Below are 22,897 nucleotides of genomic sequence, written 5' to 3'. Positions count from 1 at the left end.
TGTTTCATGTGATGTGTGTGAGTATGAGAGTGTGCATTAAATTTTTTTTTAAATTTTTTTCCAGGAATGTCTCCTGAGCATGCACTGATGTTTTATGAGATGGGTGTCATTATGTACAGTGATTCTAAGGGGTCACCTACCATCCTGCTATATGAACCAAATGGGCTTCACTGGGAAGGTAGTGCCACAGCCATGATCCCCTTACCATGGAGGGGGCCCCATGGAGGACTGAAATTCTCTTTTCCCATAAGATCTTTAGAATAACTATAGGGCTTTGAGTTTGGAACCAAGTGAATAAAATTAAACAGCTTCTTACAGATGACTTGAGAAATGAATCTCCACTTTGTTTCCTTAGCTTTGCACAGCTGTTATGGAAGAAGGTATTTCTTAGGAAGAAAGTGGCCGTTCATTACAAAACAACCTATCTAGACAGCTCTGGGTACCTGGAAAAACAGTCTCAATGGAAGCAAGTTTCCTAGTTTTAGTGACTTTTTCTGCTGGTGGCTACATTCACCAAAAGTGAATGTAATATTTTCTCTTGTTTAACTTTGGCTACAGGACACTAAGGAGTTCCTTTTTATCAACACTGAGATTAACTGTCTCTCCAGGAAGAGAGAAACCAAGTTACTCATGATTTGGTCATGTCAACTTTTTTGACTTTCTGGCCAGGTTCTGCGCATGTTAAATTTTCAGTCTCAGACTGGGACCAGCAGATTTTCTCCCCCAGGCCCCTAGGGCTGTGCTTGATAATGACTCTGCAATTTGTCTCATGCTTCCCAGAGATAGGAGCATTTTTCCCCCCACTGTTCCATGCTATTTACAAAGCACAGGTATTATGATTTATTTCCTTCTTCAATATTTATCAATATTAATGAGTATCGTGTGCAGTTATTGGATGAGGCACTTACTTAAGTGGAAAGAGATTAAAAGTGGTGCTGTTATTTGGTATCAAGGTGGTTTAGGCCTTGAGGAGAAAGCTACCTGCTTCGATTAGCCTAATGAGACAACTTAATGAGAAAGTGATCTGCTTCAGCTATATTCTTATCAATACAAACAAATGGCATAGTTAGGGTATTTAGCTATATTCTTATCAATACAAAGAAATGGGATGGTTGAGACATTTGTACGTAGCCATTTTCAGTATACATATATATTTATTTTGCTTTAAGTTCTGAGATACATGTGCTGAATGTGCAGGTTTGTTACATGGGTATACATATGCCATGGTGGTTTGCTGCACCTGTCAACCCGTCATCTGTGTTTTAAGCTCTGCATCCATTAGGCATTTGTCCTCATGCTCTGCCTCCCCTGGCCCACCCCCCCAACCCCCGACAGTCCCTGGGTGTGTGATGTTCCCCTCTCTGTGTCTATGTGTTCTCATTGTTCAGCTCCCACTTATGAGTGAGAACCGGCAGTGTTTGGTTTTCTGTTCCTGTGTTAGTTTGTTCAGTATACATTTTTATTATTAAAATTAGTTGTATTGTGAAAATAAATACTTATAATGAATTAAATGCTATAAACGTACATTGTCCAATCTGGTAGCCAGTAGTCACATGTCACTACTGAGCACTTGAAATGTGGCTGGTCCACAGTGATTGACTATAAACTATACAATGGAGTTAATCATTTTATATTGATTACACAGATAATTTTGATGTAAGTTAAACATACATTTAAGTTAAATTTCACCTGTTTTTTAAAAGGCAACTACTAAAAATTTAGAATCACATGTGGTTCTCACATTTTGATTTGTATTGAAATGGTTTAGAAGAATGCAATAAATAAAAATCAATAAAATTAAAAAGTGTAAACATAAAAAGTTCTATTTTATCATCTCCTCCCAACCCCAATGCCTCCCCTGAGAACTGAGATTTGTCCTGCATTTAAAACTCCCCACACATATGTACATAAACTATGAAATATATATAAAGCTTTGCAATTTGCCTTTTACTGTTAAAAATATATAATGGAGGTTTTTTCATAAAATCTACTTTTTCAAATTTGCTCTTTTCATTTACATGTGTAAGGAAACCAGCAGGCCTGAGGAAGAGTGCATTTAGTGCCTTGGGGGCATCTTCCCAGATGGCCCTGGCAGTGGATCCTGCACTGTGTCTACTGATGTACTCCCAGGGGTTTCAGTCACCTAGCCTGGTCCCACATTTATCTTCCCCTGTTCCCAGCCTAAGGCACCCAGCTCCTCCATCACCTTTCCTTCCAGAGCAGCCTCCTCTATGAGGCCCCCTAGAATCTCAGGCTGTGTGTGGAGGACTCAGGTTCCTGGTGAATCCTTCTACACTGCCTCTGAGAACAAGCCCAGAAAGCTTTTGTATTTAAGGTCTCTACCAGGCCAGATACAGTGGCTCATGCCCGTAATCTCTGCACTTTGGGAGACTGAGGTCAGAGGGTCACTTGAGCTCATCAGTTTGAGACCAGCCTGAGCAATACAAAGAAACCCTGTATCTACAAAATAAAATAAAATAAAATAAAATAGCCGGGCATGAGCATGCACCTGTAGACCCAGCTACTCAGGACATTGAAGTGGGAAGATTGCTTGAGCCAGGGAAGTCGAGGCTGCAGCGAGCTGTGATTGTGCAACTGCCCTCCAGCCTAGGCAACAGAGACCCTCTATTAAAAAAATAAATAAAATAAAATAAAAAATAACAGTGTAACTCTCAGTGCCCCTGGAGTAACAAAGTTTAAGTAACCTTAGGAGAGAAGCCACTGGAAGAGTGGTTCCAAGTGTCAAAAATATAGTCAATTACTACATCAGTTAATCATATAAATGCCTCCCTATTAAGGGAATTTGTATCTAAATATTTAATGAGACTGCTAAAAAGAGACTTTAAGCTCTGAAGCATCAGATGGAAATGAGGGTAATATGAAGAGGTTTTACTGAAAATTACCAAAAATAGCAGGATGCTTGGTTCCCAGTATTTTAGAGCCAGATTTAACGCTGCCAAGGCAGGAAGATTGGATGATTCCTCTTTGAGGAATTAGGTATTTTTTTTTTAACATGTAAGGAGAGGGTCTACTTAAAGTCAAGAATAGGCTACCCTGTGAGCCCTGAGGAGTGAACAACCTACCACATCCTTGATGTTTAATTCAGGATTGAACACGTCAAATCGTAAGGTGATTCCAGGGTGATGCTCGATTTTGATAATTGAAAAATCAGGGTTCCTTAAAAAGATAAGCAACCTCATTTTATGACAACACTACTTTCGTTATAGGCTTGTCCTCTCGGGAAGTTTCCTATCAAGGAACTCTTCTTCCTTGCCTCTGACAGCAGTGGAGACTGAAGCCCGTGCTTGTCCAACTCCCAGTGTCTAATCAAATGCAGGTTTTTCCTTTGGATTAACCACATTGAGAGTGTTTGCTTTGGTCCCCAAGGCAAATATTCAAGGACATTAAGTAATAAAACTTAATATAGGAACAATTAAAATATGGAATTTATGAAATATTAGAAACCAAGTTGAATGTTTATTGTCACAAATGTTAATAAAAAGTTAATTGTGCCCTTTAGCAATTAATTTATGCACAATTATCTCAAACTGTTACTGGGCCTTCTGAACTAATTATATCGAGGTATTAAAAGAAAATGCCCAAGTATCTACAAAATAGCTTCATAAAAATCTGTGTGCTTAGCTTGATGTGGAAGCCCTTAGCTAAGTAAGTATTATTAAATGAGTTAAGACTATACCCCAATTACTCTATAGGAGTTGATTATTTAAAATTAGTATGCTGTGGTTGGGTACATTTAAAGAGCTTTAAAAGCAGCGCAAAGCATTCTAAACAATTATTGCCTATTGTACCTTTTATTTAAGCACAAACTCAGTCTTGTATGTTATAGCTCCTATGTTCTGTTTAATAGATGCTAAATTAATGCACTGGAATAATGTAGAAATATGCAGTACTATCTTCATAGCTGCATTTTTTAGGCTTCAAAGTTAAAAAATAAAAATTAGGCAGCGGTTTTCAATTGGATTCATTATAATACTATATTATTCATGGAGAACCTATCAGGTGTCATGTATTTTACACGTAACAAAGGACAACTCTTGGCTCTTACATCATGCTAGGCTCTGTTCCAAGCACCACTATATATACATATGTATAGAGCCTATTTTAGTAGTAGTTCCATCTGCCTTATTCTCTCTCTCCCTGTTCCCCTTCCTTTCTCTTTCAATCTCTCTCTTCACACACACACATGCTTTATTTTCCGAGTCATTTGGCCATTTATAGAGCAAGTTGCAGCTATGGCACCCTTTTATCTGTGAGTACTTCAGTATGCGCTTCCTAAGTTCAAACATATGCTGTTAAATAAACACATTTATTAAAGGAGGAAATTTAATGTTGATGTAATATAATTTAGTTCTCAGTCTATAATCAAATTTCACCAGTTTCCAACAAAATGTCCTCTATGACTATTTTTGTTCTCAGCCTAGCATCTAATTCAGGCTCTTGCTTTCCATTTAGTTGGCATGTCTATTATCTTTCAAATCTGCAACAATTGCTCAGCTGTTCTTTTTCACGACTTTGAAATTTGGAGGTTTAACAGGCCAGTTATTTAAATGTGTTTGATGTTTTCCTCATGATGGGATTCATGTTATGCATTCTAGGCAGGAACACCACAGCAGTGATGCTGTGTTTTTTCTCAGTGGATTCTATGAGCAGGGAATGATGTCAATTTGCTTCATTACTGGTGATGTTAACTTTGACCATCTAGTTAAGGTGGTATCCACCAGGTATCTCCATAATATAGCTACTCTTTTCTGTAATTAATAAACATTTTGAGACTATGAAAATACCCCATTCCTCAAACTAATACTTAGATAAATAAACATCATGTGTTAGCAAACTAGGACAATTTTGTGAAATAGATGATATGTGATAATTAATTGATGGAGAAAGCAAACTTACTCAAAGCTAATATTTAAGACATCTATGTACAAATAAACATGCATAATGCATTATAACAATATACAGCGGTGTTCCATGCAAATATAAGCCATTTTCCAATTCATTTAGGAATTTTGGCAAGTCAGGATTGTACAATTTAATTACATTTTTAGCCTTCAGATGGGCTAAGAAAATTAAGACCAGGAAAAACAGACACAGGGAGAACAGTTTTCTCCTCAGAGTCTAAATCTAACAAATCTGAGAGAAGGAATAACCAACGTCCCTTAGTTTTAAATCCTTCTATCTTCTGCTAGATTATTTTTATTGGTTTGTGTGTTTGTATATTTAAATTAAGTTATAGAACAAAATATTTCCCATCATATTCTGCTTTTTAAATGGTCATGCAGTGTCTAGACAAATAATATAATCAGGTCACTTTTAGAACATAAAGGGATATTAAAGATCATTTCATCAACCTTATTTTAGAGACAAGATAAGTTGAAACCGAGATAAATTTGAGTAAGTTAGTTGCAGAGTACTAGGAACTAGAATTCTGATTCTTGACTCCTCCATCTGATGTATTAACCATGACATAACCTTATTTCTTGAAGACATGCTGCTTTATTACAACTGAGGATTTAAAAAACAAAACACTGGGCGAATTTATAGTGGTGTTTGAGTATTCCTTCAAGTACATACTTTAAATAGTATGTGTCCTTGCGTCTCTACTGTAATAGCTTCTCTACTGGAACTAAAGGGGCACAGGTGAGACTTTGTGACAGATTCTTAATGCCATTATTAATTACATTGTTTTCCCTTTCTATAGTGTATTGGCTGATGCTGGGGAAATATATACTCTTGACTGCCCACTCCTTTTAATGAAAAACTGTATCCCCTGAACCCATCATATAAAATCCTAATGAATTTCTCCAAATAGATGTAGGTCACCTCAACTTCTAATGTTATCTTCACTTTACGAAAATCTCTAACGCAATCTGGATTATTTAAAAAATATCATTTGGCTACAGAGCTTAATAATCCTTTTAGAGCCCAAGGTACTTGAGTCTCCTTAGGTCTCAACGGTACACACTTTCTCCTTGGAATTGTACCAGAAAATCCGTTTAAAATCAATATTTTATTAGAAGCAACATTACTCTCATAATTTGCCTTACACCCAATTTGTTTGGAAAATTGAGAGCCCATAAGAGAGGATCTGTTTGTACTTTATATGTCTTCTACTTTTCCAGTTGGATGAGACTTTTATAAATGCATGAGCACTGCTACCAATAAGGATTTGTCATTTTGACTATTTTGTCAAAGTCGTCACACATAATTTTTATTTTGAGTTGAGTTTTAGATTTCCGTATACTTTTCCCCTCTTTGGCCCCACTGGCTTAATGTTTTCAACTCTATAGTTATGTTAATATATCTTCAAGTCCTATTTCTAAATCCATCAATAACATAATCCAATTCTGCAAAAGAAATTATTAGTCAATGCCTGTATATTAATCATTCAAAAGCAATAAAAATAAAATTGAGGGCAGAACACTAGTTGCCTTGAAGTACTGAATCAGCAAACTCCTATGAGAGATTTATCATCAGGATTTACAATTATTTTCCCTGATGAAATTGAGCTTTGTCTGTTAGAATTAAAGTGAAGATCACCTTTCCTGAGTCCTGTAACCATAAAAATACAGTCTTGAAGAGAATATTTGGAACAGGAACCACCTATATTTAGTATGATTTCTTTGTGCACCTTTTCCATTGGTCAATAAGATAGAACCTATTTCTTATAAATACAGTGATTGCATAGATATTAATTTATCTGAGTTTATTTCAGCTAGGGATTTTCTGATGAATGAATACACACCTTAATCAAAATAATCAATGAATTGAATAAAACTGTCTATAAACAGATGTCAAAGACTAATGATACGTCACTGTACATCCTACTGTACAGAATTTCAAATAAACATTTAATATCCAAAATATACCTTCTTTTGATATACAATGTCAAATTTATAAATTACAAGTGCAGGGTCAAAATTCTTTAATTGCAAGCAATAGAAACCAAACGAGGCACAGATCAGGCGACACACACAGGAAGGCAAATTCTTATTTAAATAGCTGCTCCAAGGCAGATGGTTTCGGCTTTAGGAGCATTGAGATCCAGAAGTGCCTTCATCTTTTACTGTGCATCACTGAGCTCTGCTTTTGCGTTCTTGCTTCCATTCTTGGAATTTTTCTCTGTGATAATGAGTCCCACCATCCAGGCTCATGTTTTCATTGATTCCAGAGAGTATATGGAGAGGCACTGTCTCCTAGAATCTGTCAAAAATCTCATGAATGTTCCATTTGGTCCTGTTTGGTCACATGCTCCCCCATTAGGCTAATCACGGTAGACTCAAAGGAGACATAGCACAATGAGTTAAATCTGGGTCAGAGGCCATGCTTTTGCCAGGAGACAGAAAAAGCATTGTGATTGACATTACCACCTGAATTACATGGGATAATGAATGGGCAGCTGTGCAGTTGAAAAAGGAGTACTGGACAGAATATAATGTCCAGTAAGGTAATACTACCTTCCATATGTAACCTTTATTTTTTAAAAGAGCTGTGCAATAGTTACTACCTTGTCTGCTATTGACATTCTCAATTCTAAACAATGCATCATTTGAATGAGCCTCCCCTTGCTCAAGCAACTTGAGTGAGGCTCTTTCTCATAATTGGGCAGACCATCTAGAACTACTGGAGGGAGGTTCTTCTTTGTACTTACATAGACTGCCCAGAACAACAGGGACCTCTCTTCCATAGAGCAGTGCTGCTCAATTGTACAATCTCTACTTTCTATTTCTTTAGAGTCCCTGTTTTCAGGGTATATAAATGTGGGGAATAATAGATTTTATCCATTATCTTTTATACTCAAATCAAATTTGATAGTCAAAAGCTCAGGAATGATTGATTAAGCTCATATTTTTTCCTTTCCCTTACTGTCCTTCTGGGCAGTTTCTATAGCTCTCTAATTTAACAAATATGAATGCCCATATGAAATCAACCAAAAAAGGTATTCTGGTTACCCTGACCGCAAGAGCACTGGAATACAATTTAGGGAATCTGGATTTCTTTTCTAGGCCTATTTATTAGGAGAAAAGCTTTAGTAAGTTTTTAATAAACTCTAAGAATCTGATTTCACATCTGTGAAATGAAGAGTATATTTTATTAATATGCCTTGAGCACCTAGTATATCCCAGGCACATGGTAGAGGTGGAATACAGCCACAGGGGGGAGAAAGAGGCCTGTGCTCTGATGCAGGTTTCATTCTAGCACGATGGAGTCCAGAAATGAACAGTTAAATAAATAAGCAAATAAGGTAATTTCAGTGATAAGTGCTGTGAAGAAACTGAAAGAGAGTAAAAGTGATAATAACTGGTGAGGGACTATTGAAAACTATTTAACTGGAATTGTGAGAGAGGTCTCTTTCCTTCTTTTACTCTCTTTTATTTTTGTTTTGTTTTCGATACAGTGTCTCACTGCATAGCTCAGGCTAGAATGCAATGGTGCGATCATGGCTCACTGCAGTCTCAACCCCGTGGGCTCAAGCAATCCTCTTACCTCAGCCTCCTGAGTAGCTGAGACTACAGGCACACACCACCATGCCCACTTAATTTTTTTATTTTTATTTTTTGTAGTGACGGGGTCTCACTATGCTGCCCAGGCTACTCTCGAACTTCTGAGCTCAAGTAATCCTCCTGTCTTGGTCTTCCAAAGTGTTGGGATTACAGGCATAAGCCACTGTGTCTGCCTGAGAGAAGCCTCTTTATGTTTGAGCTGAGACTTTAATGATGACATTAAGCTGGTCATGTGCAAAGGTGCTAAGTTGAGAAGAAGCTGGGCTAATTTAAGGACTATTAAGAAGGCCCATGTGTTTAAACCATAATGAATGATGGGGAGAACTGAAGAGTAGAACTGAGTTCTGGGAAGCTGACAGCGGCCATCGTGGGATGAAAATTCATTGTATAGTTTCAGGTTGATAGTTTCAGGGATGGTATGATCCAATATATGGGTTTTTTTTTGTTTTGTTTTGTTTTGTTTGAGACGGAGTCTCACTCTGTCGCCCAGGCTGGAGTGCAGTGGCGCTATCTCGGTTCACTGCAAGCTCCGCCTCCTGGGTTCATGCCATTCCCCGGCCTCAGCCTCCTGGGTAGCTGGGACTACAGGCGCCCGCCACCACAGCCGGCTTTTTTTTTTTTTTTTTTTTTTTTTTTAGTAGAGACGGGGTTTCACAGTGTTAGCTAGGATGGTCTCGATCTCACCTTGTGATCCGCCCACCTCGGCCTCCCAAAGTGCTGGGATTACAGGCATGAGCCACCGTGCACGGCTCAATACATGCTTTTAAAACAACTTTAGCAATTGCTTCTCTGCAGGGGTTGGCCAGGGAGAAATGGTGAGTTCAGTCAATGGGTTGTGGTAACTGCTAATCAGGGTAAGATGTGTCGGTAGCTTGAAACAGCTTTAGAATAAAGATGGTGATAAGTGGTTATATTTAGATTTTATTATTTCCAGGGTTTTGTTCCTGAGCACCTGGGTATATGATGATTATATTAAATTATAGGAGGAAGACTGGAGGATGAGCAATTGGGGCTGGGCCTTCTTGATATAAGATACCATAATTACATGACTGACTTTGAATTTATAATGAGCCTTGGGCAAATAAAGGTAGAATTACCTCTGTTCTGTCTCTCCCTGATCATTCAGGAAACAATAAAGTAGAACAAACATTCAAGAGCTCAATGCTTTTCAACACTCGAGCCCAATCGTATGGTAGATTTTTGACAACAAATATGCAAATGTCAGATATCCTTTTTGGCTTGCTGCCAGATTTTTTTTTTTTTTTTTGAAAGTTGAAATAATCAACTTTTATTTTTATTTTTATTTTTTTCTTTTTTAAATTATACTTTAAGTTCTAGGGTGCATGTGCACAACGTGCAGGGTTGTTACATATGTATACATGCGCCATGTTGGTGTGTTGCACCCATTAACTCGTCATTTACATTGGGCATATCTCCTAATGCTATCCCTCCCCCCTCCCCCGACCCCACAACAGGCCCCAATGTGTGATGTTCCCCTTCCTGTGCCAGATTTTTTTTACGCCCTTCTATAATTTCTTCTGTTTCTAAATTTGTAGGCAGACATGTATTTGACAGTTGCTATAGAGATGGGAAAATTATAAGATATGATGAACTTCTCAGCGACTAGATTTATCTTTGAAATGCATTTTCTCTACATTCTTGCCTCCTAATTAATTACAACTTTGAACATTTAGGTAGCAGATAAATTGACAGAAAGCTTTTCCCCCTCTGGCTGAAATGATCATAATATAATGAATAGTTCTTCAAATCATGCATCCCCAAACTGTGATAAGTAGAAGTGTGCTTTTCACAGCAAAAAAGGCAAAGTACTTCAAAATACCCTCGACAGTATTGACATTGTAACAGTTGTATGATCCTGATGAAGATAACTAATAGTAAAGATTTCTGTTGGGTAGAATACATATAAAAGTATCTTTTAAAAGTTAATAGAATTCAGTGTTCAAGGTAGCTTATGACTGATAACCTTAAACAATGTTTACTTGCATGCTGTTGTTTGCCATTAGCTTCTTATAACCAGAAAATTCAGGTATCGGTGAGAAAGGGGGAGAAGAGTTCTCTGAACTATTCAAATGTGTAAGTACACGTATCATTATGTACCTCCCCTTTCCTATATATCTGTTAACATCTAGGTTCCAGAAAGGAACACATGAAAGCGAGTGTTGGGGGATGATTAGCAAAGAGGAAAACAGACCCTGCCACTCAATTTCTTCCCCTTTGAGAATTTATTCTGCAGAACAAAATAGGATCAAGGTTTCCAGGGACTGTAAGCAATACCTTGGCAACAAGGTGGACTCTGCACTGTGGATCCAAATAATGTCAACTGCAACACCAAATTAAGGCAGTGGGACTGGGCTGAGATTGATGACACACCAGCATTGCTGGATGTTACCCGTTTCTGTACTGTGAGTCTAAGGAGCGCAAAACCGTCTCACACCAATTTCATTCCCATGTCCTGGCTTGCTGTTCAAGCAAGACATGTTTGCATGGGTTTGACATTCTAAATTTATTTTTTGAAATATTTCTTTGTGTCCTTTGTCCTATTTTCTATCTTTTTAAAAATTTAAGAACCCTTTATAATTTCAGAATATTAATCATTTGTGTAGCATAAGTTATAAATATCTTTCCTAGCTTTGCACACATTATGTAATTTTATGGTCTTTTAAATATATAGATAATTTAGTCTGTATGAAGTCAAAACACACTCTTCTCCTTCATGGACATATTTAGGGACTTATTTAGGAAGCCTACCACCAATCCAAGATTCTAAAAGTATTTACCTGATTTCTGTCTAGGCCAGTTTTTTTCTTTTTTTGTAGCATAATAACTATTGTTATTTTATCATTCCATGACTGACTGTAATGCAAGGTGAGAAATAAAATTCAAATTTAATAATTGTTAAATAATTATTAACCTGGTAATTTTTGAAACAATTGGTCAACAGCTGCAGTGGGACCTGTGAACATTGTCTGCCAGGTAAAGGCATGTATCCTGGTCCATGGGCCTGCCCATGCACTAAAGCTTTCCTGGGAGAAGGATATCACCTTGTGCAGGAGTGCCAAAATCGTGGTCAAGTTCTTCTCATTTGGCATCAACAGCATTTTATTTCAGCATGGCATATATCCATCTGGAACATTTACTCCAGTGTGGAAATATGGGCTCACCTTGCTTGTAACCACTAATCTTGAGCTCATGAAACACCTAAATAACACGGTGGAACAACTAAAGCATTGGCTATACAAACGTTCAGGTCAGAAACTGATTGGAGTCATCTCAACAACTGAAAGTGATGAGGTCCTTCAAAGATGGCAGTTTGACCCTAAGTGTGATAAGACTGCAAAAGATCATCTTGGGCCCAGAGAATAGTCGCAGAAAACTATCCAGGATGAAATCTGTTTAGTAATCAGATCACAGCTACAGTGACATTTCTGCCACTGTTGGAAGTTGTTCTTTTGATCTACTGATTTATAGAGATTTGGTTGTACTTGAAAAATGGGAAGAGGAATGACCTTTTTCTTTTGATCTACTGATTTATACAAAGATTTGGTTGTACCTGAAAAAATGGGAAGAGGAGTGACCAATTCTGAGGAAGTCTGTCTTTCTGCATTTACTACCTAGTCCACAAAGTAAATAGCACGGTGGCTTACAAAGTTCCTGTCAATGACTGAGGATGAGATGAAGAAAATAATATACCTGTAATTTTCAAATGATTTTCCTGAAACCAACTCAACCATAGTTGATGTCTTATTTCACTGGTTAATTTTTAGATGGGAAAAACCAACATTGTACTTTACTAAACTGTGTGTAATTGTTCTGTTCTTTGGTACTTGTTTGACCTACCTTGGAGTTAATGTAATGAATTGATTGCACATTGTTGAAAAAGAACCGGTAGATTTTTGTCAGCACTGTAATGTTACTTCCTTTGCTGACGGTAACTGTAGCTGAAAAAACTTTTGCTATAAAGCTAAATGTTTTCGTAAATCAGACATTTTTACTAAGTAGCTTTACTCCATACAGGTAGAGCAATATATAAATATAAAATACAACAGAAGTCTGAATACTCAATCTTTGTTTAGATCCTAAAACTAATAATTCACAAGCTGTGAAATGCTCTGGTAGGTAATTTTGTCATTTATTTCATTGTATAGTTTCCATGTTGAATAAATTTTCAATTATTAGATTTCAATTTGTGTAACTTGAATCTATGAAGCAGTGGATTATTTATACCATTTAATTTCTTGTGATACAGAACTCTTCACATTTTTGTGTGTTTGTGTGTTTTATAAAATTAAGCTTTAAGTAAAAATGAGGAAATGAAGTTAAAGTTTCTGTATGTTTAAAAAAAAAGTTTTTAAATAAAACTGGTTAACCATATGAGACCAGGGACTTTGTGTCTCAAGACCTGATGCAATGTGTAGCACATGGTGGACTCTAAACACTAACTCAAAGAATGAATGAAAAATAGCACATCTAGCACCTAATGGCTCCCAGTGGTATACAGGAGTCACAGACTTGCAGGTTGATAGTAATCTGATAACTATTCGGTTACAGAAGGAATTCTGAGAGATCTATAGTATTTAGTAAAAAAAAAAAAAAAAAAAAAAAAAAGAAACCTTAAAAATATAGGACCTAGATACTATATGGATTTTAAAGGCCTTTTAAAAATATAAAGACATGTCACATTTATTCTAAACAAATAGGACAACATGGAAAGGGGAAAAGCTGAGTGAGACATTCAGGTTGAAATTCTAATCTTCTAATTTCTTGTTTTATAATCTGAATTTAGTTACTGATCTTCTAGACTTTTTTTTTCCATCTTTAATGTGGGAATAAAATGCTTTTTCAGGGAAGTCCTGGGAACTACATGTTAACATATACAAAGCACTTCATACAGTGTCTATTAGAATAGATCTTGTATTAATTCTAATGGTACTTTCCAAAGCTTTTCTCTCTAAGCATTCTTCTAGGGTTCTGGGAATTTGAGAGTGCTGTCATTATGTGACAGCATGTAAATTTCAAAACTTGTCTTCCTTATATAAACTTTAATATGTGGGTCATTTTAAAATATCAGTGTATTACTCTCTCATCTATCATTATAGACCAAGTGTAGAATTAGGTTGAATTAAATGCAGACTACAAAGTTTCAAGTGCTTTGCAATTAAATATGTTGTTTTGCAAATTACTCCATCACTAATGAAGCTGTGAGGAATCCTGGGCAACACCATACTGCTACAGGCAGATATGTCTGATGCTCCAATTAAACAAATGCATATTTTCTCCAATATGTGGACAGTTAGCAATGTTTAAATATGGCTTTTGAATTGCCCCTTTTCAATGAGGCAGTTATATGTTCACATGTTCACATAAACTAAGATGTTCAAGTGATACTCTGTTGCCCAGGGAAAATGCTAAGTTAATTGCTAAATGAGCTGAAGTATAACAAAAATCAAAAGAAACTAATTGTGTGCCTACTGGATAGTTGTGATACAGTCACTGTTGATAACATGTGCCAAAGAAACAAATTACACACTAAAGCGATTTCTCTTGTTCTTCTCCATAGACAGATGGACCAGTTGATATTACTCTATTAAAAGCATATTGCGATTAGGAACAAACAATATTCTTACATCCTTTTTCTAAAAGGCTCAACATGGTTCTTTTTACATAAAATAAAAATCTCTAACAAATTAATGAAATACAGAGAAAAGAAAAGAATATCATCAGCAGTAAAAAAAAAAAAATACAATTTCTGTCACTCTTCCTGCTGTAGATGTCAACTGTTAAACTTTCCAAAGGAAACTTGACAAGATTAAATGCTACCAGAAATAACTTAGACAAACCAATCTGGGCTTCTGCATATTTTACAAAAACATCCACTCCCAAGCAAAACGTTGAGCCAATCTAGTTTTCATCTTCTGCTGCATTTCCTTCCTTTCAGCAATGTGTGCTTTCCTTACAAATGCTTACAACTCACTTCTGTAGGTAAAAAAAGGTAATTTGTTTTTAATTTAACTTTAACTTTTCCACTGAAACCTGCATGTGTTTGCATTTTTTTGAGATTGACACATTAAGATCTTAATAAAAGCTACCATCCCAAATGCTGGAATGCTGGCATTGAAAAAATATTTACAAACATTTTTGTTATTCTTTATTTTCTTTAGATATAATTTGAAATAGTGGAGAATTTAAAAGTATACTCAATTTTATATGAAATATATTAACGTATTTACTCAGTGAGCATGATTGTTTTTAACCCTTATGATATTAATATCATATGTTAAACTAGTACATGATATTTGTCAATCTGTTTTTCATGCACACATGATATTAATGTTTTAAGGGTCATCAAAAAATAGTCAAAATTTCTTTTTTTCACATTCTACTACCTATTTAATTGAGATTATCTGGTCCCGTGTTAAAGTATCAAGTTTCTCCAACTGGATTATCTGCAGGTAATTATTGCACATAACTGGAAGAACACTTAAATAAAGAACCCTACAGGTGAACAGTATTCATAGCATGAGATCGTATAGTAGTATCTTTGTATTAGCTTAAGACTAATGTTTATGTATAAACTTTCAAAAAATGAATTTGACCTTTCATTTTTATGTCTTTATCTCCTACCACATTTGACACAATGTCTTGCACATAATAGGATGACCATTTGTGTTGAATAGATGAATGAGTGAATTAAGAAAACACAATAAGCCCCAGCCACTTTCACAATCTTTGGTCTAAGCTAATCAATATGACCCATTCTTATTCTGTACTGTATCATTTGGTAACTAGATATTTGCCAGTACAGGAAATCAACTTCAAGTGCCAATAGGCAATTTCATGTACTTTTATTCAGAAAAGCAATATAGAAACTATGTTTCTTTAATTAATATACTGTAATTTTAGCTAAAATCATTATAACATGGTTTTAACGCTCATTCTATTTTTTTTCTTGAGCCTAACCATACAAACCTAAAACCAAACTTTTAAAAAGTGGGACTTTCTTTGTTTCAACAATATGGTGGAAACTGAGCTGTAAATTAAGTGAACTTTCTTCCCCATTTAGAGAAAGTCAGTAAAATAAACAGAAGAACTATTAATAATTGACATTAAAATGTACTTGTCTAGATGAGTAGACACACACACACACACACACACACACAGGCATTGCCATAAAAGTTACTTTTGAGGAAAGGATTCTCAGCAAATATATTAAACTACATTTCAGCTGAATTCTTATTTCCTTTGTGGTTTTACCACGAGCCATGTAAGAATTCTGATCAAGGTGCTTGGTGACATGGTGCTGAATCCCGAAGCCCCAGCACAAGGTTGGTAAGACTTTCTAGTGCCCAAATACAGACAGCGGCTTATGGTCTCTATTATCTGAGTTACACGGGAGTCCAGAAGAGCTGCCTTTGTTGATATCTGGTCTCAGCTGCCTTCTCTACTGCTTTTTCTTCATGCTGTGATGAGCACTGTGTGTCTTACCACCGCCCAACAAGCCCCGGTGTGTGATGTTCCCTTCCCTGTGTCCATGCGTTCTCATTGTTCAACTCCCACTCAGGAGTGAGAACATGCCATGTTTGCTTTTCTGTTCTTGTGTTAGTTTGCTGAGAATGATGGTTTCCAGTGTCATCCATGTCCCTGCAAAGGACATGAACTGTTCACGATAGCAAAGACTTGGAACCAACCCAAATGCCCATCAATGATAGAGTGGATAAAGAAAATGTGGCACATATACACCATGGAATACTACGCGGCCACGGATTTTTCACAAGGGTGCCGAAAAAAATTTAATGGGGAAAGAGCAGTCTTGTCAACAAATGGTTTTCAAACAAGTGAATGATTTACAAACTTGGCTGCCTCCATGCCTCAGCAGCAGGCCTGGCCCAAGCCTTGATACTCCACATTTATAGAGACCATCTGTGGTCCTAACCCTGGTGCCTACCAGGACTCCTACACTGGCCTCTGTGGAGGGCTCTCTCATTCTTCTCATGGGTAAAGATACTGCAGCCGAAGTCACGCAGCACCGAGTCCATGGTGACGGTCAAAGAGGATCTGAACTCAGAACTGCCAGAGGGAAACTGGAGAGTGTAGTTTTGCTTCAAGAAATAAAAGGTACCAAATTCAGCCACAAAAAGGACCTATTTCTTCTACAGAAGCAACCACACTTCTGGAGATGACTGTGGATTGAAATTCATCCCTGGGAAAACCTAGGAGCCATGTGTTGAAGATCACAGGGACACATGATAGACACATCTTGGGTCACCAAGTCCACACTAAAGAGGGGCAGCACCGTCCAGCAGCACTTGGTTCAAACTAACTCTGGGGAAAAATCAGTGAAATTGTGAGATATTGCCAATTCTGACTGATTTCCCTCACATTCTTGCAGTGGAAATCTAGGTCGGTGATTGATATTTTTGCCAAGGTCCTTCAGGCCACTGCCCCAGCCGCCTGGACTGACAAATACAAATGAGGAATGGAACCTATAAAAGGAAAAGAGATTTCTGGGAACTTTGCAGCCGGGATCCAGCTTCTAAGCTGTGGATGGAAACTTTCAATCAGAAGAAGGAGGTGCCTTATCCAGGGACCTAGGCACAGAGAGTTCCTTACTGCAGTGCCCCCCGACAAATCTGCCCTGACATGGCCGTATGTGGATAATGGTGATAGCACGGCACTGCTTTGATTCACTACAGTCTTTGTAAGACCAGGTAGGACCTACAGTGGTTAGAAGTCATGGTCATTTTTTTCCTGGCAACCACCAGCTGTTTCTATTTCCCCAGTACACTGTACAAATGTTATGCCTTTCTATTCATTCACTGACCAGGGCAAAGTTGGAGAGCACAGTTTCATTGAACCTGACCTCCCAGTTGATGGCTCTCAACTGAGCACAGCCCTTGGCTGAAAAGTACTGCCATGTTTAACGTAGCATCCCCTTCTGGAAACAGCATGCATTCAGCAACTAGTCTATGATTTGATAGATTCATCCCCAAACTCAAGGTGGGAAAACTCAGAACCCTCCCATTCCCCACTGTAGATCTCCTAATAGGATTAGCTGAGGTTTTTATTGCAAATGCATCACAGCTCACTTTCTCCCTTTCCTGGTCTTACTTCCTTCCCAGTGCTATAAGAACAGACACCAAGAACCCATTTCAAATTCGTGCAGCAAAGCTGTTTTATAGCCTGCATCCCAGAGAGTCCTACTTAAGCAGACAGGAAGCACAAATGGACTGGAGTAGGGGGTTTAAATACAGGAGCTGAAAGTAGCATCAGGCATGACCTGGCCCTGTCAATTACTAGCTGTGTGCTTTTGTGCCAAGTCATTTAACCTCGGTATGCCTCAGTTTCCACGACTGCAAAATAGAAATATTAATAGCACCTAGTTAATTGAATTATGAAGATTACATGATATAACAACAAAAAATAAAGTAAAAATGTCCTGGTCCATAGCAAGAAGTATAATTGCTTAATTAAATGAATTAATAAAATAGAGCAGAAGAGATCTGTTTTTTCTGTCCTGCTTTGTCCTCTGTCTCTCATCTCTCTTTGCCTCGGGGAAAATTCATTTTCTATTTCTATTTATACTTTTATATCGTTAGCCCTTGATATTCAGTTAATATCTTTATATTATACTTTCCTTTGATTACCATGAAAGGCAGAACATAGAGGGGGGAAAAACCTTGCTATTGAAATATTCCTCCTAAAAGATACAATAAAAAGCATTTATTCACGAAGTTCAGAATACCACTCTTTATAAATTATTTCTTTGTCTCTTTTTTCCATAGACATATAAAGAACACTAATGCTATAGGAAAAGAATCAACATGCATTTCTTCTTCACCACTGAAAAATAACCCAATAATGTGTCATGAATCTAAAAATGACCATGTCTTTCATTTGCATTAGTTCTCAATGAGGAGCAATTTTGCCACCCCACTCCAAGGGAACATTGGGCAATAGCTGGAGACAATTTGAGCTGTTGGACTGGGGGAAGGTGCTAGAGGCCAGGGATTTTGCTCAACATTCTACAATGCATGGGACAGTCCCCTTACAATAAAGAGCTATCCTACCCCAAAGGTCAACAGTGCCAAGGTTGAGAAACTCTGACCTACATGGAGCATCTGCATAGTTTATGTTTACTCCCTATGAATTCTTAAGAAATTTATTCACTTTGATGACTATCTTTTAAAAATGAGAAGATATGCTGACAACATATTGAACATGATTATGTCAGAATTTTCATTATCAAAGTGCTAATGGCTCCAGTCTGATGTCAATATTGCCTTCTGTCTAGCTGAACAGGTTTTTCTGTCTTTTTCCTTTCCTTAAATGCAAGGTAACCCCTTAAATTGTAGATTCTTATCTGCTATGTGCTGTGCAAGCAGAGATTTGAGTTGATTTGAATCACATGGACACACAAGTTGGAATGGATAGAGAACCTCGCTTGACTTGATAGTGTTGTATGTACAGTCTGAAATGTCAAGAAAATCTGAAATGTCAAGAATATAAATACTTTCAAAAGACAAGCATCAAAAGCCTTCTTATCACCTCTTTTATAACGCCAATCATGTATTGCCACATTTGAGCTGTTATGATGTGATATGGCTGAATGGAAAAGACACTGGCAATGTTCTAACTTGCTCAGAGGTCATATATAAAACCTTCGTGGATGCTCTGGACTCATCCTTGAGACAGGACATCCTATGGTGTCCCTGGGCATTATTAGCTTCACAAAATTACCCTAAGACTCAATAATTATTTTGCACTCTGTCTTAAGATAGGGCCATCCTATCTCAGAAGATATTATCAACTAGCCTATCCCAGATCACCTAGGTATTACACCCCGCATGCATTAGCTATTTATCCTGATGTTTTTCCTCCCCTTGCACCCCCAACAGGCTCCAATGTGTGTTGCTCCCCTCCCTGTGTCAATGTGTTCTCCTTGTTCAGTTCAATTCTTATTTTATCTTGATTTTTTGTTTAATCTAAGAGAAGCCAGTCAAGGACTTTAAGCAAGAGCATGATATCCCTGGGCATTATTTGTTTCATAAAATTATCCTAAGACTCAGTAATTCTTCTCGACTCAGTGTTGAAAGTATGCTCTTAGGGCATACTTAGGCATGCCCCAAGTTATCCTAAGAATCAACAATTCTTTTGGTTTCTGTCTTCTCTATTATAAGCTGGGTGTCTAAGAGATAGACAGTATATGGTGGTAGAGGCACAGGATACACTGGTGCCAGGAAAAGCAGGCACAGGAATTTCATCTATGATGGTAGAATTTGGGGAGACTGATGAGTCCTTAATCAAATTAGATCATAGCATTTTGTAGGTGAAGAAAATGAGATGCATCTACCCTTTTCTCTTTCAGTCAAAATTTAATAGTTCAATTCTAATACGAATTTTAATTTAATTTTATGTTGTGGGATACATGTGCAGGACATGCAGGTTTGTTTCATAGGTAAACCTGTGCCACGGTGGTTTGCTGCACCTATCAACCCATCACCTAGGTATTACACTCCGCATGCATTAGCTATTTATCCTGATGCTCTTCCTCCCCTGGTGCCTCCAACAGGCTCCAATATGTGTTGTTCCCCTCCCTGTGTCCATGTGTTCTCAGTGTTCAGTTCAATTCTTATCTTGATTTTTTTTTAATCTAAGAGAAGCCAGTCAAGGCCTTTAACAAGAAGTGGGCAGCAGTGGAAGATGGGTAACTCGACTTGATTTTTATTTTCCAAGAATATGGTAACAACCCTATGAAGAAAAGTTGGAGGAAAACAGGACTGGAGGTGGGGAGATCTGTTATATATTCATTAGAGTAATCCAAATAAGAAGCGATGGAGACTCAAACTCAAGTAGTTGCAGCAGTAGTGGAGAAGAAATAGATTGGGCAGTTATTATAGAATTAAAATGTATAGGTCTTGGCAATCAGTCAAATGTAGAAAGTGGAGAAAAAGAATGGATATGGAATGTGAGGAGGACATGAGGCTGAGACTGGCTGAACAGGCAAGATGTAATGCCACTTATTAATCAATAGAAATTAGAATCAGCCTAAGGACTGAAGGGAAAATGACAAGTTGAATGGAGATGTTGATGCAGAGGTGACTATGGAACCCCTCAGCAAAGATAATGGAAAATGCAATTCAACAAGCAGCTTTGCTACTTAGAAGAAATGACTTTCAAAGTTCCTATCCCAGACATCAGTATTGTCATCAATAAAACCAAAAGGTATTAATTTACTCGTCAAGGTCTCAAACCATTATAGACTAAGACTGGTTTCTTGACTTGGCTACAACTCTACACAAAATAGCTAGTGTTACATTTACAGAAATATTAAGAAAATATAGGTATATGCATTAAACTCAATTTCCCCTTCATATTCTGGATGTATTTGAGATTGCCATATATCTACATAGTTTTAAATATTTAAACCTAAGTAACTATTTAATATTCAATAAATGTGTCACATTTTATCTTGTCTTATATCAGATGTTTTGCTGTTAGTTTCTTGCATTTTATCATTAATGTAATTCATTTTCACAGAGTAATGCCTACATTCATAAAAAGAAAAATCACTACTTGAAAGACTTGATGTTGTCATGTTTGTTGAAGAATGTTCCTGAGACAATCTTGGAAATGTGAGTGAGAAGTGGGATTTGGCAGAATCTGGAAAGTTGGTCTTCAATCTGATTGTAATCCACTTGGAAAGAAGAACATCAACCAGTGAAAGACTTAATGCATCTGCATGAATGTAAATCAATCAAATAGATATTTAAGAAACTTGTTCCTTTGCTGCCATTTCAAAAGTCAATACCATGTAATATTCTAGAACAGGTCATGACAAAGTTCAACATAAAAGGAAATAACGTTTTACTAAATGCATAAAGATTTATATAATTTAAGGCTTTTGCAAACGTATAGTTTTCACAGTGATGACCTGCATATTATAGATTTGTGAAATTTTAAGTTTTAATGTAATCACAAATCTATAACATACAAGTCATCATTGTGCTTTTCAGCACTAAGAAATCTATTCTTCCACTGATGTGTGAAAGATTTAAGTGACCAGACACTCCTAACAGTAATAGCTTTGCTCTTTTTCCCTCATGCATCTGTACCAGATATTATTGCCCAGAGGACTCTGAGCAGTGTTTCTGTGTATATTTAAGAATTAAACGGTAAAATTCTACTAAATCATAATGCCAACATGATAAAATATCTGCAGTAATCATGTCCATCAGATAATGACAATAAAACATTATTATTCCATTAAAACTAAGGAGAGAAATCAACTAAAATTTGTATGCAGGAGTATTAGTTCTTACACATTTTTAAGAAACATTTGTTTACAAGTGCTGGTAATTTTTAAAAAGTTAACTAAACTGCTTAAATTGTATTAGTAACAATTTCAGGTTTACTAAATTGTTTATAAGCACCGCAGCTCTATCATTTTTAACCTTGGGTTGTAAATATATAATATAATATAAACATGTAAGTGTGTTTGTATGTATGTCTGCTCAGGTGATAAAAAATAAAAAAGTAAACAAGAAAAAAAGTCACTTAACCATTTCTATATAAAGCAGTAATGTCAACTGAACATCAGGATAAAATCAAGCAACAAGAAGACAGACTGTCACATAGGATATGTGTTATTTGTATCTAGAGAGAGTATATTCCCTTCAAATCTCTTTGGGATGACAACTTCAGTCATCCCTAGAGAACACAGATTTCACAGCACCAAAACTTCTGCTGCCAGAGTGTGTGACGTGGAGGCAGCTCCATGTACTAGAGGAGAACTTGCCTACTGCAAGGTGCACTCCTGCCCATCCCTCCATGCCAACACACTGGGTCACTGTCTCTCATGTCAGTGAGAACTGCTTAAGAATAAACCCTCTGAGGACAGCATGATTCTCCTCTGCATGGAGAAAACTAGGTTCTGCTGTCCAGAATTATGTCCACAGAATATCCCTGGTTCCTCCAACATTAAAGGGCCTAGTTGAACTCTAGAAAAGAAAAAAAAGCAATCTTTTAATCCAATCTGCTACCTTCCACCAAAAGACAACTGAGAATGATAGCAGGGAAGAAGAGGGGAAAATACCTGTAATATACTCAAAACTCTTGATGGGAAGCCAGTATCGTGCAAGGCATGCAACATATTTTAAATCTATAACCACATTTAACCTTCATAAAAACACAGTGAGATGGGCATCCTCTCCATTTTCCACACGATGAAAACTAAAGCTATCAAAGTTAAGTAGCATATCCTGTTTATACAGCTAACTCAGGGCCAGGGCAAACTCAAACTTTAGATCATCTGGCACCAGAGCCCATGTCCTTTAAGTTTCATTGTTTTGCCAACA

General features: G+C 37.0%; 1 non-coding gene and 1 pseudogene across 1 annotated transcript, besides 1 other annotated feature; one reads left to right on the top strand and one right to left on the bottom strand.

Moving 5' to 3' along the window:
• The window catches only part of LOC100128497 (mitotic spindle assembly checkpoint protein MAD2A-like), a 50,279-nt pseudogene extending 37,603 nt beyond the window's left edge, over positions 1 to 12,676 (top strand).
• Positions 9,284 to 9,453: an enhancer, noted in NCBI's record as "experimental_44798 CRE fragment used in MPRA reporter constructs". NCBI's record gives its function as "activates a minimal promoter by MPRAs in K562 erythroleukemia cells, with activity observed for both the introgressed and non-introgressed 16:76915012 variant alleles {active_cell/tissue: K562}" and the evidence as "EXISTENCE:reporter gene assay evidence [ECO:0000049][PMID:34662402]".
• Positions 12,677 to 21,463: 8,787 nt separating the features above from the next.
• Positions 21,464 to 21,547, bottom strand: MIR4719 (microRNA 4719). Its single transcript, NR_039870.1, has one exon. It is a non-coding gene; the product is annotated as a microRNA 4719 (primary transcript).
• Positions 21,548 to 22,897: the final 1,350 nt, after the last annotated feature.

Source organism: Homo sapiens, chromosome 16, assembly GCF_000001405.40.
Source record: "Homo sapiens chromosome 16, GRCh38.p14 Primary Assembly".
Lineage (NCBI taxonomy): Eukaryota > Metazoa > Chordata > Mammalia > Primates > Hominidae > Homo > Homo sapiens.
This window is presented reverse-complemented; position numbering and strand designations above follow the sequence as displayed.